The sequence below is a fragment of the Homo sapiens genome, chromosome 15 (assembly GCF_000001405.40).
Source record: "Homo sapiens chromosome 15, GRCh38.p14 Primary Assembly".
Lineage (NCBI taxonomy): Eukaryota > Metazoa > Chordata > Mammalia > Primates > Hominidae > Homo > Homo sapiens.
In genome coordinates, this window is record NC_000015.10 from 60,401,474 (window position 1) to 60,418,157 (window position 16,684).

The following is a 16,684-nucleotide window of genomic DNA, read 5'->3' on the forward strand; positions in this document are numbered from 1 at the left end:
CATGGTGAAACCTCATTTCTACTAAAAATACAAAAAATTAAGCTGGGCGTGGTGGCGGGCGCCTGTAGTCCCAGCTACTCGGGAGGCTGAGCAGCAGGAGAATGGCTTGAACCCAGGAGGGGGAGGTTGCAGTGAGCTGAGATCGCACCACTGCACTCCAGCATGGGTGACAGAGCGAGACTCCGTCTCAAGAAAAAAAAAAAAAAAAAGAATGGCCCATATTTGTAGCTGAGCAGTTCTCTCAGTCTGCTTCATTCATGCCAGGAGAAACTGAAAGGTCTAGAAACTTCTTTTCATTTTGCACTTTTTCTGGTTTAAGCTGGCAGTTGTTTCATTAATACAAGTATCTTAAAAACCATGTAGATTTTCCATATCTTATTAAGGTTCACACCATGCTCCAAGATTTATATACAATTTTCTCAAAAACTTTATTTATATAAATCTTGCTGAGGTTTAATTCCATGTTCCAAGATTCACATTCATTTTTTTTTTTTTAAATAGATCTCTCTCTACTTTACATGTCAGGCTGCAGTGGGACAATGCACTTAAGATTCTTAGAAGCCCTGAGATCGTCTTCGAAGTACCACATTAAATCTTTCTTGGAGTCTTTAAAAAGAAGTTTTTGCCGGGCGTGGTGGCTCACACCTGTAATCCCAGCACTTCGGAAGGCCAAGGCGGGTGGATCACAAGGTCAAGAGATTCAGACCATCCTGGCCAACATGGTGAAACCCTGTCTCTACTAAAAATACAAAAATTAGCTGGGCTTGGTAGCGCGTGCCTGTAATCTCAGCTACTCAGAAGGCTGAGGGAGGAGAATCGCTTGAACCTGGGAGGCGGAGGTTGCAGTGAGCCAGGATTATGCCACTGCATTCCAGCCTGGCAACAGAGTGAGACTCCGTCTCAAAAAAAAAAAAAAAGATTAAAAAATGTATAAAGAATGTCTGGTATATTGTAGGTGATGAAAAAAGCCATAGTTATTTCATTGGCTTTTTTAGTCTTTGCAGCAGCTGGCCTTGCTGAACGCATAGTAAGACCTCAATAAATCCTTGTTGAATTCACGTGTCATGACCCAAACCACACAGAGTACTCTTGGTATGGACAAACCACAATGTCTATTTTGTTTGGAGGCATTTCCAGGGAAAAATCTGCAGTGACTTCAATGTCTCTTTCTCAGCTGTAACAGACATTTTTGACCTCAGTTCATTCTCTGAGACAGCCAGAATTCTCTTTCTGAGACATAATTCTGATTATATGACCCCTCTCCAGAAACTCTTCCCAGCAGGGCTCTGACCTACCTGGGCAGCCTCATTCCCCCACATCTTCACTCTTCACCGCTCCATGTGCCACTGCTGGACAGGCCAGGCTCATTCATGCTTTGTACCTTCCTCCATCCTGTTTTCCTGCTGGAATGCCCTTTCCTGCTTTCCTCAGTGGTGAACTTTGCCTCATCCATCAAGCCTCAGAGTAAATATTATTTTCTACTGCAGAGCAAAGGCTTTCCCAAGCCCTTCAGGCAGATTTGACTACTTCTCTTGGCATTTTAAAAATATACCTCTCCTCTTGCAATTGTCACCTCGCATTGTTATTTTTTAATTTGTTGGTCTCAGCAACTAGGCAGGAGCTTCTTGGGGACAGGCATTTGGATGTTTCCTCTTTGCATTGACATTATCTTACCCAGTACCTGTTACTATCAGATTTTTCTCCATAAACGCATTACCTTGCCTTTGTTCATACTTAAACTCACCTGGCAAAAATTAAAATGTATAGTATTCAGTGTGGTGAAAATGGGCAAAATGGGAATTCTCAGACATTATCGGTGGGAGGGCAATTTGTCAGTATCTATCAATACTTAAAATACTCATGCCCTTTGATGCAGTGATGTTGCTTCAAGAAAGCTATCTTGAAGAGAGAGCTCTACGTGACCATAACAATATATGTATAAGGACATTTATATCAGCATTTTAAGATTGAAACACCCTAGGTGGCCATCAATGAGGCTAAATTAAATTAATTTTAGAGTATGTGTTCAGTGGAATGAAGCTGCTGAAAGGAATGGAGTAGATCAACATGTTCTGACATGGACAGATTTCCAAAATATAGTGCTAAATGAAAGAACAAGCAGAATGTAAGTGCAAAACTGTGTCTTGCTGGATTGCTAAGTTACGATATGATGTATAAAACATTATGAAAACTGATTTGGCTACAGATGCCCACTCTGTCAAGATCATTCCTATATTAACCCACTGGAATATTGGGATGCTTCCTGAGGTGTAAGCATCTTATTCTTAACTCAGCACATTTTACTGCATTTATACATTGGCATGTCAGAGAATGAATATTTCAAACCCTATCAGCCTATTGTTTCTTCCAACAGCATTTTTCCATCTAATTTTGTAGAAAATACAAATATTTAGCTGCTAAGTGTCTGTTATCAATAGAAAAAAAACCCTAATTCTGCAATACAATACGTATTTCTTAGCCATAGAGCCTATTCAAAATAGGACAGTATTTTTCATGAAATAAAATATTTTGAGTGAACATGAAAACACACAAAAACATAGCTGCATTTTGAATGTTTTTATCTTCATTAAGTGTCTATTGAAAGTATTTTGGGTGTTTTGAATTTTTTTTAACTTTGAATTAGTCTTCAAAGTTAAAAAATGGAATTAGTCTTCAAAGTTAAAAAATTCAAAACACCCAAAATACATTCAGTAGACCCTTAATAAAGATAAAAGCATTCAAAATGCAGCTATGTTTTTGTGTGTTTTCATATTCACTCAAAATATTTTATTTCATGAAAAATACTGTCCTAACTGCTTGGGAGACTGAGGCAGGAGAATCGCTTGAACCCGGGAGGCGGAGGTTGCGGTGAGCCGAGATTGCGCCACTGCACTCCAGCCTGGGCAACAAGAGCGAAAAACTCCGTCTCAAAAAAAAAAAAAAGTCTCCTTTTTTTCCAGCCCCGGCCCCAGACGCTACAGCCGCCGAAATGTTGATGCCTAAGAAGAACCGGATTGCCATTTATGAACTCCTTTTTAAGGAGGGAGCCATGGTGGCCAAGAAGGATGTCTACACGCCTAAGCAGCCAGAGTTGGCAGACAAGAATGTGCCCAACCTTCATGTCATGAAGGCCATGCAGTCTCTCAAGTCCCGAGGCTACATGAAGGAACAGTTTGCCTGGAGACATTTCTACTGGTACCTTACCAATGAGGGTATCCACCATCTCCGTGATTACCTTCATCTGCCCCCGGAGATTGTGCCTGCCACCCTATGCCACAGCCGTCCAGAGACTGGCAGGCCTCGGCCTAAAGGTCTGGAGGGTGAGTGACCTGCAAGACTCACAAGAGGGGAAGCCAACAGGGATACCTACAGATGGAATGCTGTGCTCCCTGGTGCTGACAAGAAAGCCGATGCTGGGAGTGGGTCAGCAACCGAATTCCAGTTTAGAGGCAGATTTGGTCGTGGACATGGTCAGCCATCTCAGTAAAATTGGAGAGGATTATTTTGCATTGAATAAACTTACAGCCAAAAAAAAAAAAGTCAAACAGAATAATATGACTAAATTGATTCTATTTATGTTAATATTTATGTGTATTCACACATTTATGTGTATATTCATATATGTCTGCATAAGTAGGTTCATGTAAGCACATATGTAAATATATGGAAGTATGTACACCAAAGTGATATTGGTCAGCTTTGGGAAAAGTATTTGTTCAGGAGAGTGTTCACCTTTACTACATATGCTTGTTTGCATTGTTTGATTTTTGTTAACAGTTAATAGAGACACCTTCTATAGTTTTAAAAAGAGTTGAAAAAAAAAAGACATATAGCCAGCGAAAAGAAGGGCTGTCTTCTTACACTTAAGATTATGACAGGTCATGCCAGGCTTTGGGGAAAACTTGAATCTTTTTGATGGTATTTTTCATGTATATTTAAGAAAACAATAATTTAAAAATCTATAAATAGAGGAAAAGATGGACATCATAGCACTCTCTGCTGACAAAGAAAACACTCAATATTGTAACATCTCATGTGATTTTGTTTCTTCTAGTTATAATCTATGAGAATACAACTTAGGCAGAGCCAATGCTTATATATTTCATACAATGCATGAAGAAAAAAAGCTTGCTAAGCAAATTAATATAATAAATAAGATAACTCGTGGCATGAAGTTTATGGGAAGGGTAGAGCACATTTCTTTGTTCATATAAGCTTTGTATTGTTTGTATTACATCTTTTATCTCTTGGTACTATGACTGTTTATGTTTCAGGTTGCACCATCAAACTAGGAGCTCCTTGTTCATCTTTGTAACCCCAGCGTGGGGCTCATAACATGCTCTCCATGTTGAGAGACCTGACGTTGTTGGAGTGGACTCTATTACTGGATACTCTGATATTCATCATAGAACTCAGGAGGCTTGGGCTCCGGTCCTAGCTCCTATATAAACTGGGTGTACTTGTACATGTCACTTAAGCTCTCTGGTCCTGTTCCTCACCTGGAAAATAAGGGTCTTTGACTAAAAAATTATCAAATTCTGTTTTAGCTCAAAAACTTGATCCTTAATATGCAAATGTAATAATTTAAGCACATTAATCATATACATGCACATCTATATTGCCAAACACAGACAAGATTTATCTGTTCACTGAAAAGGCCCAATAGGATTTCTAAATGGAAGTACTTTGAATAATAAAATTAAACCTTTTTACAAGTAGATCAATAGATCATTTTTACCAAATATGATTGGCCTTCTTTCTCTGAATTCCTTTTTTGTTCAAATTAGGAGGGGTATCCCTGTGTAATTGAATACATGCATATAAAGTTGTTGCTTTCATTCAGACTCTTTGGATTGTGGGGCCCCAGCATGTATTTAGCTCCTAGATTATTTAAACATATAGCTGCAATTGAGAAATATCACTTTAAAGTAAAATAAAGCTGTGTCGAATATCATTAAGATAATTATAACAGGCAACTGTTAAATGTCCATATGTTGCAAAGGAACTTAGGTTTCTAATAAAGTGAACCTGTGATAACATACTTAGGTGACTAAATATGGGTATATACACTAAGGACACACTTAAAGCTATCACTAGCAATAGAGTGCAAATATTCCTCCCCACTCTTCAGGGAGTGTTGGCAAGCAGCAAGCAGAATGGAACCCAGTTTTGTAACCCAAGAGGCCAGAGCTGGTATATGGTTGCTTTGGGAGAACATGAGAAGTTGGAGTACAGCTAAGCTAGATACCAAGGGAGAAGCCAAGGGCACTCTGATCTGTTAAAAAGTCTGAAATACAAGAGCAGAATTTAAACAGAGGGGGAAGCCAAGTTCTATGGCTGGAAGAACACAAATGCAAGTAGGAGGGAAGCAAGGAGGGAGGGGACAGGCTGCAGCTGGGGCTGGGGTGGCATCCATTGCCTCTGTGACCATGATGCTGGGAGATTGGGTGAGGTTGGAATGAATCGCTGGCATGCATACTAAATCATCTCTGCCATTTCTTCAAACAATGCAAAAAAGAGAAGAATAGGAAGGAGAAGGAGGAGGAAAGGAAGAAGACAGTGGAAGAGAACATTGTGAGGGAGGATACCGTGACATTGTGATACAGAGAGCAGTGAAGGGAGAGGTTTATACTCCTGACTACAGCATAATGACATTTTTTCACATCTAAATTTTAGTTTTTACTTTCTGAGCCAGTTAATATAAAAATACATACATAAATAAATTTTAGTTTCTTAGCATCTGGAGAACAGAATATTTTGGCCCAGATCATCTGTAAATTCCTTGCTAGCTCTTACATTTGTAAGACCCTGCTAAAACAGTCTCAAATTCTGTAAGACTCAGTTAAAACAATCACTGAGAGATTCATAAACCAACTTTATTACTCAGGTAGTAGAATTTTAGTTCAACTACTTAACATTTTGGCATCTGGTTTTCCTGGGGTTTTTGGTAAGAAGGCCTGATTGCTTTCTAATAGGGTGGGGTCTCAGAATTGTGTTAGAAGCAAAAGGCAAACAGATGGGTAAGCTGCTCTAATCAGCTCAAGCTGGAAAAACAAACAAACAAAAAAACCAAAAAAACCTCTTTTCTCTTAAAATGAGAGGTTGGTCTTCCCCAAATTCCAATGCTCCACTCCCTGATTTGGAGATGAATCAGATGACTTCACTGGTCTTCCCCTTCTCTGATTTCTATGATTCATCAGCTAAAGCAACTAGGGAGGGGGAAGAAGAACCCTTCCAGTATTCAGGTTATATTGCAGCTTAAAAGGAAGGAATCTAAGGAAAAACTGTTAGAATTGTAAAATAATGAAGAAACAAACTTATAATACTCCTAACTAAGACATATTTTTAAAGAGGACTCCCTATTCTGGTAATTATCAATTACATGGACTTGGCTGTTTATCAATTGTTTTATAAATATTTTTCTATGAAATCAGTAAAAAAGAAAAAAGAACGCATCGTAGAGATAAAAACCTTGTTTCAGGCTGGACGTGGTGGCTCACGCCTGCAATCCCAACACTTTGGAAGGCCAAGGTGGGAGAATTGCTTGAGGCCAGGAGTTTGAGCCCAGCCTGGGCAAAAAGGCAAGATCCCATTGTTACAAAAAAAAAAAAAATTAGTTGGGTATGGCAGTGCACATCTGTAGTCCCAGCTACTCAGGAGGCTGAAGCAGGAGGATAGCTTGAGCCTATGAGTTTGAGGCTGCGGTGAACTATGATTCCCACCACTGCACTCCCCCATGGATGACAGAGTAAGATCCTGTCTCTAAGAAGAAAAAAAAAAAAAGATAAAAAGAAATCTAATTGGTTTTGACCATCTGAAAAAGCTGCCAGTATCTACCTGATTATAATAATCAAGGAACCCCCAAGAGTCATTCAATTTAACAAACATTGAGTATCCACTAAATGCCAAGCCAGGCAGGGCTACACAGCACATATAATAGGAAGAAACATCAAACTCCACCTTAAGGACTAGTGGAAGTTAATATGTAATGATAATTTGACAAATGCATCAGATATGAAATCTAAGTGCCAGGAGAATACAATAAGAGAATGACTAATTCTGTCAAGGAACAGTTCACCATTAGAGAAAGGAAGTAAGCCATTCCATCTTGGCCAATGCATTAAAGTTGCTCATAGTTAGTTGAAGCCATTGCACAACCATGAAAGAGGAAATGTAACATAAACCAATGTATTCTCTATCAGCAGGAAGTGGCAATGTAGAGAGGTGTGACTGTTTATTTTTAAACAAACCATCCAGTATAAAAACAGGTGAAGAGAATTAGTCATTAGAGAAGGTAGGTATTTGATTAATGCCACCATTGTGAAGATAGTTTTGGAAACCCTCTGCTTAAGTATTTCCCTCAAAGCTGAAGGCAAATTCTGGTCACTTGAGAGGAGTTTTGAGGAAGAGCTAGCAGTCATTCTGGACCAGGGCTGGTGATTAAGAGGGGAAAACATAGTAGCAGAAGAGGATACTGATTTGATCAGGCCCTCATTTGATAACACTGTTCAGTGAACTCAGCAAGATTTATTTTCTGGTTGTAAAAAATATTTAATCATTCTGATATGAGGGCTGAAGTGGATATCTATCAGTCCAATCAAGATTTTGGACTTCCTGAAATACTCAATATTCAAAATCATGTGATATTATTTAAAAGTAATAATTTGGTGAGGGTAAAAATGTTCAAAAATGTAGTGAACTGAAATGGAATATTCAATGATAACATGAATAATGTACTTATACAGCAAAAAAGAGTTTAAAAATCCAGTATTCCCACAAGCAAGGGAATAGCTAAGTGTGATGTGGTTTCCAATGAATGACATCAGCCCTATGTAAGTCTCCACAGGAACAGGCTAACATCTGCCATCCCCTTTCTCTTCCAAAACCTGTGGTATTCTTGTGGGCATTCTGGATAACTGGAACAAGCTGAAACATGAACCCAGACAACAAAAGAGTTAAGAAGGTACAGACAGGCCGGGCGCGGTGGCTCACGCCTGTAATCCCAGCACTTTGGGAGGCCGAGGCGGGTGGATCACAAGGTCAAGAGATCGAGACCATCCTGACCAACATGGTGAAACCCCATCTCTATTAAAAGTATAAAAATTAGCTGGGAGTGGTGGCGGGGGCTGTAGTCCCAGCTACTAGGGGGGCTGAGGCAGGAGAATAGCTTGAACCCGGGAGGCGGAGGTTGCAGTGAGCTGAGATCACGCCATTGCACTCCAGCCTGGGCAACAGAGCAAGACGCCGTCTCAAAAAAAAAAAAAAAAAAAAAAAAGGAAGGTACAGAGTTAGTGGATGCAGGGTTGGACCTGAGACATCTGCATCTGCCACTCACCCAAGCCAGTCCTCAAAGATGTTGACCCCTCTCCTAGGGCTGCAGCTACTCTTCCTTCATAAACAGAAATCATATCTTGGAATAGTCAACATTGCTTCTGTTAGTCTACTAATAAATTATGTATATTATAAAATTATCTGCCCTGTTTTGTTAAAAAAAACATGAAGCCCTTATACCCTTAATATCTAATTAAAAAGGAATGGCAGAGAGGTAGGGGAGAATGGCCTGGGACCCACATGGGCTGACAGTACAGGTCTCCATATTACCATTTTGTTTTAACTGTTTTTTTTTTTTTTTTGGTGTTTTTCGTGTTTTTTGAGATGGAGTCTCACTCCGTTGCCCAGGTTGGAGTGCAGTGGCGTGATCTCAGCTCACTGTAACCTCTGCCTCCCGGGTTCAAACAATTCTCCTGCCTCAGCCTTCCAAGTTGCTGGGATTACAAGTGCCCGCCACCATGGCTGGCTAATTTTTGTATTTTGAGTAGAGATGAGGTTTCACCATGTTGGCTATGGCTGGTCTCAAACTCCTAACCTTAAGTGATCCACCCGCCTTGGCCTCCCAAGGTGTTGGGATAACAGGCGTGAGCCACTGCGCTGGGTTTGTTTTAACGTTTAAGCCCAATTTTCTCTTTCAAGGCTGCAGCATCTTTTTTTTTTTTTTTTTTTTAAGACAGAGTTTCGCTCTTGTTGCCCAGGCTGGAGTACAATGGCATGATCTCAGCTCACCACAACCTCAGCTTCCTGGATTCATTCAAGCGATTCTCCTGCCTCAGCCTCCTAAGTAGCCCACCACCACGCCCAGCTAATTTTGTATTTTTAGTAGAGATGGGGTTTCTCCATGTTGGTCAAGCTGGTCTCGAACTCCCAACCTCAGGTGATCTGCCCAACTCAGCCTCCCAAAGTGCTGGGATTACAGGTGTAAGCCACCGAGCCTGGCCTTTTTTTTTTTTTTTTTTTTTTTTTTTGAGACAGAGTCACACTCTGTTGCCCAGGCTGGAGTGCAGTGGCGCCATCTCAGCTCACTGCAACCTCTGTCTCCCGGGTTCAAGCAATTCTCCTGCCTCAGCCTCCTGAGTAGCTGGGATTACAGGCACGTGCCACCATGCCCAGCTAATTTTTTGTATTTTTTGTAGAGATGGGGTTTCACCATCTCTACAGGCTGGTCTCGAGCTCCTGGCCTTAAGTGATCTGCCCACCTTGGCCTCCCAAAGTGCTGGGATTACAGGCGTGAGCCACCAACCCCAGCCCAACATCTTTTTTTTTTTAATTTTAATTTTTATTAGAGATGGGGGGTCTCACTATGTTGCCTAAACTGGTCTCGAACTTCTGGGCTCAAATGATCCTTCATGAATAATTAAAAATTTGTTTTTGTAAAGCCAGGGTCTCCCTGTTGCTCAGGCTGGTCTTGAACTTTTGCTCAAGTGATCCTCCTGCCTCAGTCTCCCAACATGTTGGGGTTATAGGCATGAGCCACTCCTGGCCAGAGCCACTGTACCTGGTTCGACTTTAAAAAGGTTAGGAGAAAGACCAGCTAGACAAAAAGTAGCATTTAAAGAGTTATCCGGCCAGGCGTGGTGGTTCATGCCTGTAATCCCAGCACTTTGGGAGGGCTAGGCGGGTGGATCACAAGGTCAGGAGATCGAGACCATCCTGGCTAACACAGTGAAACCCTGTCTCTACCAAAAAAAATACAAAGAAATTAGCTGGTCATGGTGGCGGGTGCCTGTAGTCCCAGCTACTAGGGAGGCTGAGGCAGGAGAATGGCGTGAACCTGGGAGGCGGTGCTTGCAGTGAGCCGAGATCACGCCAGTGCGCTCCAGCCTGGGTGACAGAGCGAGATTCCATCTCAAAAACAAATTAAAAAAGGGTTAGCCATTATTTTTTTAAGTGACTTTCTTGGAAGGTTACCACACTTTTTTCCACATTCAAAGTTCACTTCCAAATGATATAATTCAAATGTAATTCTCCAAAGAAAAATTTTGAAAGGAACCCCTATCCCATTTAGCTTTGGAGCCTAGAAGAAGGAGAGGCACCTGCCCCACTGTGTGTGAGGGTCTGTAGTTCTTACCCCCTTATTACTTATTTGTTCCACTCCAGTAGATTTAAAATCTGCACCTTCCATCTCCTTGGCTTGGCTGCATTCTCACCATATGGCAGGCATATTTAGTACACAGAAACAAGAGTGAACAGCTTGCCAAGTAGGACTGATCACTGTAAACTTAGGGGTGTTTTTGTTTTTGTTTTTTGGAGACAGGGTCTCATGCTGTTACCCAGACTGGAGTGCAGTGGTGCAGTCATGGCTCACCTCAGACTCGACATCCTGGGCTCAAGTGATCCTCCCACGTCAGCCTCCTGAGTAGCCAGGATGACAGGCACATGCCACCATACCCGGATAACTTTTTAAAATTTTTTGCAGAGACGAGGTATTTTCATGTTGTCTAGGCTGTTCTCGAATTCCTAGGGTCAAGCAATTCTCCTGTCTCGGCGTCCCAAAGTGCTGGGATTACAGGTGCGAGCCATTGCACCTGGCCAGCCTTAGGTTTAGATTGAAAAATAAGGTCTCCTGAGCTCCATGTCCTCAGACTTCCGTAGTTTCCAACCTGCCCCCTCAATTTATCCTATCTATTGTAGTCATACTTTCCATTCTAGAAGTTTAACCATGTTGCCTATCCCAACTCCCACCCACCCCCCCCATTAAAAAGCTTTTGATTATTTCCCATCTCAAGATAACTTCCACAGTCTTTTTTTTTTTTTTTTTTTTTTTTTTGAGATGGATTCTCACTCTGTCCCCCAGGCTGGAGGGCAGTGGTGCGATCTCGGCTCACTGCAACCTCTGCCTCCCAGGTTGAACTGATTCTCCTGCCTCAGCCTCCTGAGTAGTTGAGATTACAGGCGTGTGCCACTACAATACTTCACATTTATACAGTGGGTTGCATTTTTAAAAGAACTTTCATGTTCATTATTTATTAGATGGGTACTACAGCCAGTAGGATATGCTAGAAAGGCATATAATATCCAGGTTTTGTTTTGTTTTCTTTTTTGAGACGGAGTCTTGTTCTGTCACCCAAGCTGGAGTGCAGTGGCACGATATCTGCTCACTGCAAGCTCCGCCTCCCGGGTTCGCGCCATTCTACTGCCTCAGCCTCCCCAGCAGATGGGACTGCAGGCGCACGCCGCCTCGCCCGGCTAATGTTTTTGTATTTTTAGTAGAGACGGGGTTTCAGCGTGTTAGCCAGGATGGTCTCAATCTTCTGACCTCGTGATCCTCCCGCCTCGGCCTCCCACAGTGCTGGAATTACAGGCGTGAGCCACCGCGCCCGGCCAATATCCAGGTTTGACCGATGAAAATACCAGGACTTGAAGAGGGAAGAGATAGGGCCTTAGCAAATGGCAGAGTTGAGACTATGTTTCAGTGCTCTTTCCCCTTTCCTCCCCTAACTGCTTCTTCCAACAAAATCCAACCCTGAGCTGGCTACTTCTAAGACTCAACCTCTCATACTTTTCTTCCTCTGAAAGTTGCAGCTGACAGTCTTAACATTCCGAAGACTTCCTCACGGCTGGATGTGAATTAACTCTAGCACTGGGCTCCTGGGAGGCAGAAGGCTTGGCTGACAGCCTTGTATGCAAAATGACATTTAGGCCTTAGGCACTTAGTCAGTTACAGAGTCCTGCTCCTTAAGAGTAAAAGTTTTCAGACGCTAGAGTGTAATATCAAAAAAGCCAAACCGAATTAGGAACGGACCTATCACTTTATTAGCCTCCCAACATGCACACATAGACAGAGCTATGCAAGCCTGCTGCACTGTGACTTCACACGCTCCCCCACCCCACTTTCCGAACTCAGAAGAAACTCGTTGCGCATTTCTACAAGACTGCAGATTGGTGCTGGACAGAAACTATTTCCAACTGCCCATTGTGGCACTTGGGAGTTATAATTTGCATCACTTTTGATGGGGCAGAGGGGAGACATTATACCTGCAAACAGTGTTCAATTATTTATTTTTCACAATAGTAAAACTCTTGTTTGGGTATTGTTGGGACCCATGACTAGATATTAGTTAAAAATAAGACACCAATTCCCTAAAACACAGACCAGACATAAAATACATTCTATTCTTAGTTGTATAGAAATGTTAACTCTCTCATTCAATTAAACAGGTGGATCTTAATCACTTGATCATTTATTCTGGATCCCTTTCTGACTTTCAGTTGAAAACTTCAGGGACAAATGTAAATATTGTCTCATGAAGGATTATGTAGTCAGTGAGACTGTTCCCAGACATGATACTCTCATTATTTATTTGGAGTTCCATCTGAGAGGTTAAACCAAAAAAGCTTTAATTTTTTTTTTTTCAGTTTCAGCGGCTTAAGTTGGACAGATGTCTGCTGAAAAACCAGTTTGCAAAACTGTGTATGACTCATGTTTACTTGGCGTTGGATAATATTATCTATGGATGGTGAGGCGTAGGAAAGAGTGGGCATATTTTCAGCACACCAGTGATTGGGCACAGGTCTCTCCCTGTGAGAAGAGGTAAGCTTTTTGTTGTTGTTGTTGCCCCAGGAAGAAGGACAGACTACATACTCAGGTGGAGACGAGTTTTGGCTGAAAGATAGAATGGTTTTGTTTGTTTTTTGAGACAGGGCCTTGCTCTATTGCCCAGGTTAGAGTACCGTAGCGCGATCACAGCTCACTGCAGCCTTGATCTCCATGGCTCAAGCAATCCTCTCACCTCAGCCTCCCCAATAGCTGAGACTACAGGTGTGTGCCACCACGTCCAGCTAATTTTTTAATTTTTATTTTTGTAGAGACAGGGTCTCACTGTGTTGCCCTGACTGTCCTCAAACTCCTGGGCTCAAGCGATTCTCCTGCCTCGGCCTCCCAAAGTGTTGAGATTACAGTCATGAGCCACGCTTGGCAAGATAGAATATTTTTCAGAGGTTTCTTTTTTTTTTTTTGAGATGGAGTCTCGCTCTGTTGCCAGGCTGGAGTGCAGTGGCGTAATTCCGGCTCACTGCAACCTCCGCCTCCTGGGTTCAAGCGATTCTCCTGCCTCAGCCTCCTGCGTGGCTGAGATTACAGGCACACGCCACCATGCCCGGCTAATTTTTGTATTTTCAGTAGAGACGGGGTTTCACCATGTTGATCGGGCTGGTTTTTTTTTTTTTTTTTTTTTTTTTTAAGACAGGGTCTCACCCTGTTGTCCAGGCTAGAGTGTAGTGGTGTGATCATAGCTCACTGCAGACCTAACCTCTTGGGCTCAAGGAATCCTCCCACCTCAGCCTCCCAAGTAGCTGGGACCATAGTCATATGCCATCACGCCCAGTGAACACTTTCTTTCTGGTGCAACGTGATGTTCCAGATTCATCTTCCATTGTTCCCTGACCCAAACTTACAATCAGTAATTTCTTCAAAGAGCCCTGGTTTCTTTTAGTGAAGAACGGGATATAGAAACCAAGATCTGGATGTTACATGTGCCATTGCTACTAAATTGTCACTGCATCTAGACCCTCTCAGCACAATAAGGAAAAATGGGACGGGCACAGTAGCTCATGCCTGTAATCACAGCACTTTGGGAGGCCAAGGCGGGTGGATCACTTGAGGTCGGGAGTTTGAGACCAGCCTAGCCAACATGGTGAAACCCCATCTCTACTAAAATACAAAAATTAGCCAGGCGTGGTGGTGGGCGCCTGTAATCCTAGCTACTCGGGAGGCTAAGGCAGGGGAATTGCTTGAACCCAGGAGGCGGAGGTTGTGGTAAACTGAGATCGTGCCACTGCATTCCAGCCTAGGCGACAAAATGAGCCTGTGTCTTTTAAAAAAAAGGGCCAGGCAAGGTGTCTTATGCCTGTAATCCCAGCACTTTGGGAGGCCAAGGAAGGCAGATCACCTGAGGTTGGGAGTTCAAGACCAGCCTGACCAACATAGAGAAACCCCATCTCTATATTAACAAACAAACAAACAAACAAACAAAATTAGTCGGGCGTGGTGGCACATGCCTGTAGCTACTCAGGAGGCTGAGGCAGGAGAATCGGTTGAACCCGGGAGGCGGAGGTTGTGGTGAGCCGAGATTGCACCATTGCACTCCAGCTGGGCAACAAGAGTGAAACTCTGTCTCAAAAAATAAAAATAAAAATAAAAATAAATAAATAAAATAAAAAATGTATGCATATGTACTCACACAGCTGTAACTGTTTCTTCATCTCTCTCACTGTATATTAAATACCATGAGTTCACTCTGATACTTCCAATTCCAATAGAATATCACAGGGTTTATTCTTGCCTTCCCCTTTCCCATTATCGGCATTTTTTTTTTTTTTTGACAAGGATTCTCATTCTGTCTCCCAGGCTGGAGTGCAATGGCTGAACTCAGCTCACCACAACCTCCACCTCCTGGGTTCAAGTGATTCTCCTGCCTCAGACTCCCGAGTAACTGGGATTACAGGCACCTGCCACCATGCCCAGCTAATTTTTGTAATTTAGTAGAGACAGGGTTTCACCAGGTTAGCCAGGCTGGTCTCGAACTCTTGACCTCAGGTGATCCACCCGCCTCGGCCTCCCAAAGTGCCGGGATTACAGGCGTGAGCCACCACGCCCGGGCCCCATTATTCGCAATGTATTTACTTGCTTAATGAACCTGATGTGTAACCTAAGTCCAGGCCCTTGGCCCTAGCAAAGGGGAAGAGGAGTGTCTTAGTCTATTTTGTGCTGCTATAACAGAATACCACAGACAGGGTGATTTATAAAGAACAGAAATGTAATTCTCACAGTTCTGAAGCCCAGGAAGTACAAGATCCAGGCACTTGCGTCTCGTATGTGCCTTACTGTGTCCTCACATGGTGGAAGTCAGAAGGGCAAGAGCGGATGAATTTTGAATCCTCACATGACAGTAGATCAGAAGAGGGTGAACCCACCCCCATACACCCTTTTCATAATGGCCTAATCCATCCATGACCTAGCCACCTTCCCAAAGGCCACACCTCCCAACACTGTTGCATTAGAGATTAAGTTTCCAACACATGAATTTTGAAAGGGAACACATTAAAACCATAGCAAGGAGAAAATAAAAAAAGGCCAGGTTGGTCTCAGACAGGCAAGCCCCACCTTTCCTGGTGTCTCAGCACAAAGATGAGCCCTAAACATAACATGCCTATCTATTCCTCTCTCCTACGTTACAGACCCACATTTTCAGTGTTCTATAGGACATCCCCGTAATTGTTCTGCTGACGTTTAGTTGAAAACACAACTTGTCTTTTCACCCCCTCTCTATTCTAATATTTTAAGTCAGTGGCAACACTTAGTAAAAACCTCAGTTGTCTTTGAAACATCTTACTGCATAATTCTGTACATACATGCTATTTCTTCGCTTACTGAGCGATCTGGGCCATATCTTCGCTTACTGAGCTGTCACACCCCTACCTCCAACCTTATCAGCTGGAGAACATGCACACATCAATAATCCAGATGCTCATTAACTTGTGATGGAATTATATCCAGATTAACTCATTGTGAGTTCAGGCTGAGCACAGTGGCACATGCTAATAATTGCATCGCTTTGGGAGGCTGAGGTGGATCACTTGAGGTCAGGAGTTCAAGACCAGCCTAAGTAACATACCAGGTCCTCATGTCAACAAAAATAATAAACAAACAAACAAATAATAAGTTGAAAATATTGTAAGTTGAAAATGCATTTAACATACCTAACCTACCAATAAAAAAACAGAATGGCTGTATGGATACTTGAAGTATGATTTCTATTGACTGCATTTTGCTTTGGCATCATTGTAAAGCCCAAAAATCCTAAGTTGAACCATTGTAAGTCAAGACCATCTTTACATATTGATTAAATGTTTGCTGCTTGCCAAGCTTGATTCTAGATACAGGGGAAAAATAAGATACGGTTTTTAGGTCAAGTTTTAGCTCATTTATGAGATCTTTTTTGATGTCTACAGGTAGAACAACTCCTACCTCTTCATGTAACTCTTACCCATTACAGAAATTAATCACAATATTTACATTTTTGTACCCATTTAGATGTCTGTCTCCTTCTGTGAAACTGTAAACACTGAAAAATGTGTTTTAACTTTGTATTCCCAACACCTAGCACAATGTCTGTTACCCAGTTGTGATTCAATGTTACAAGTAAACATTTATTTTGAGGATAGGGTAAAATCAGATATCTGCTGCCTCTTAAATAGCTTTCCAATCTATACCTTTTTAATACACCTGCTATATGTACAGTTAACACCTCCTTGCCATTGGTCTTTCTCCTCTCTAAATAATTTTTTATACTGTAGCCTTCCTAAAATTCATCATTTTGCTTAAAAGCCTTTAATGCCTCCTCATTGCTTT

The 16,684-nt window shown here is 42.1% G+C and overlaps 1 pseudogene, besides 1 other annotated feature; it reads left to right on the top strand.

The window, feature by feature from the left end:
• Window positions 2,954-3,533, top strand: RPS10P22 (ribosomal protein S10 pseudogene 22; annotated as a pseudogene).
• Window positions 5,565-6,764: an enhancer, noted in NCBI's record as "CDK7 strongly-dependent group 2 enhancer chr15:60699237-60700436 (GRCh37/hg19 assembly coordinates)". NCBI's record gives its function as "activates an origin of replication core promoter dependent on BRD2, BRD4, P300/CBP, MED14 and CDK7 cofactors, with strong dependence on CDK7, by STARR-seq in HCT116 cells {active_cell/tissue: HCT116}" and the evidence as "EXISTENCE:reporter gene assay evidence [ECO:0000049][PMID:35650434]".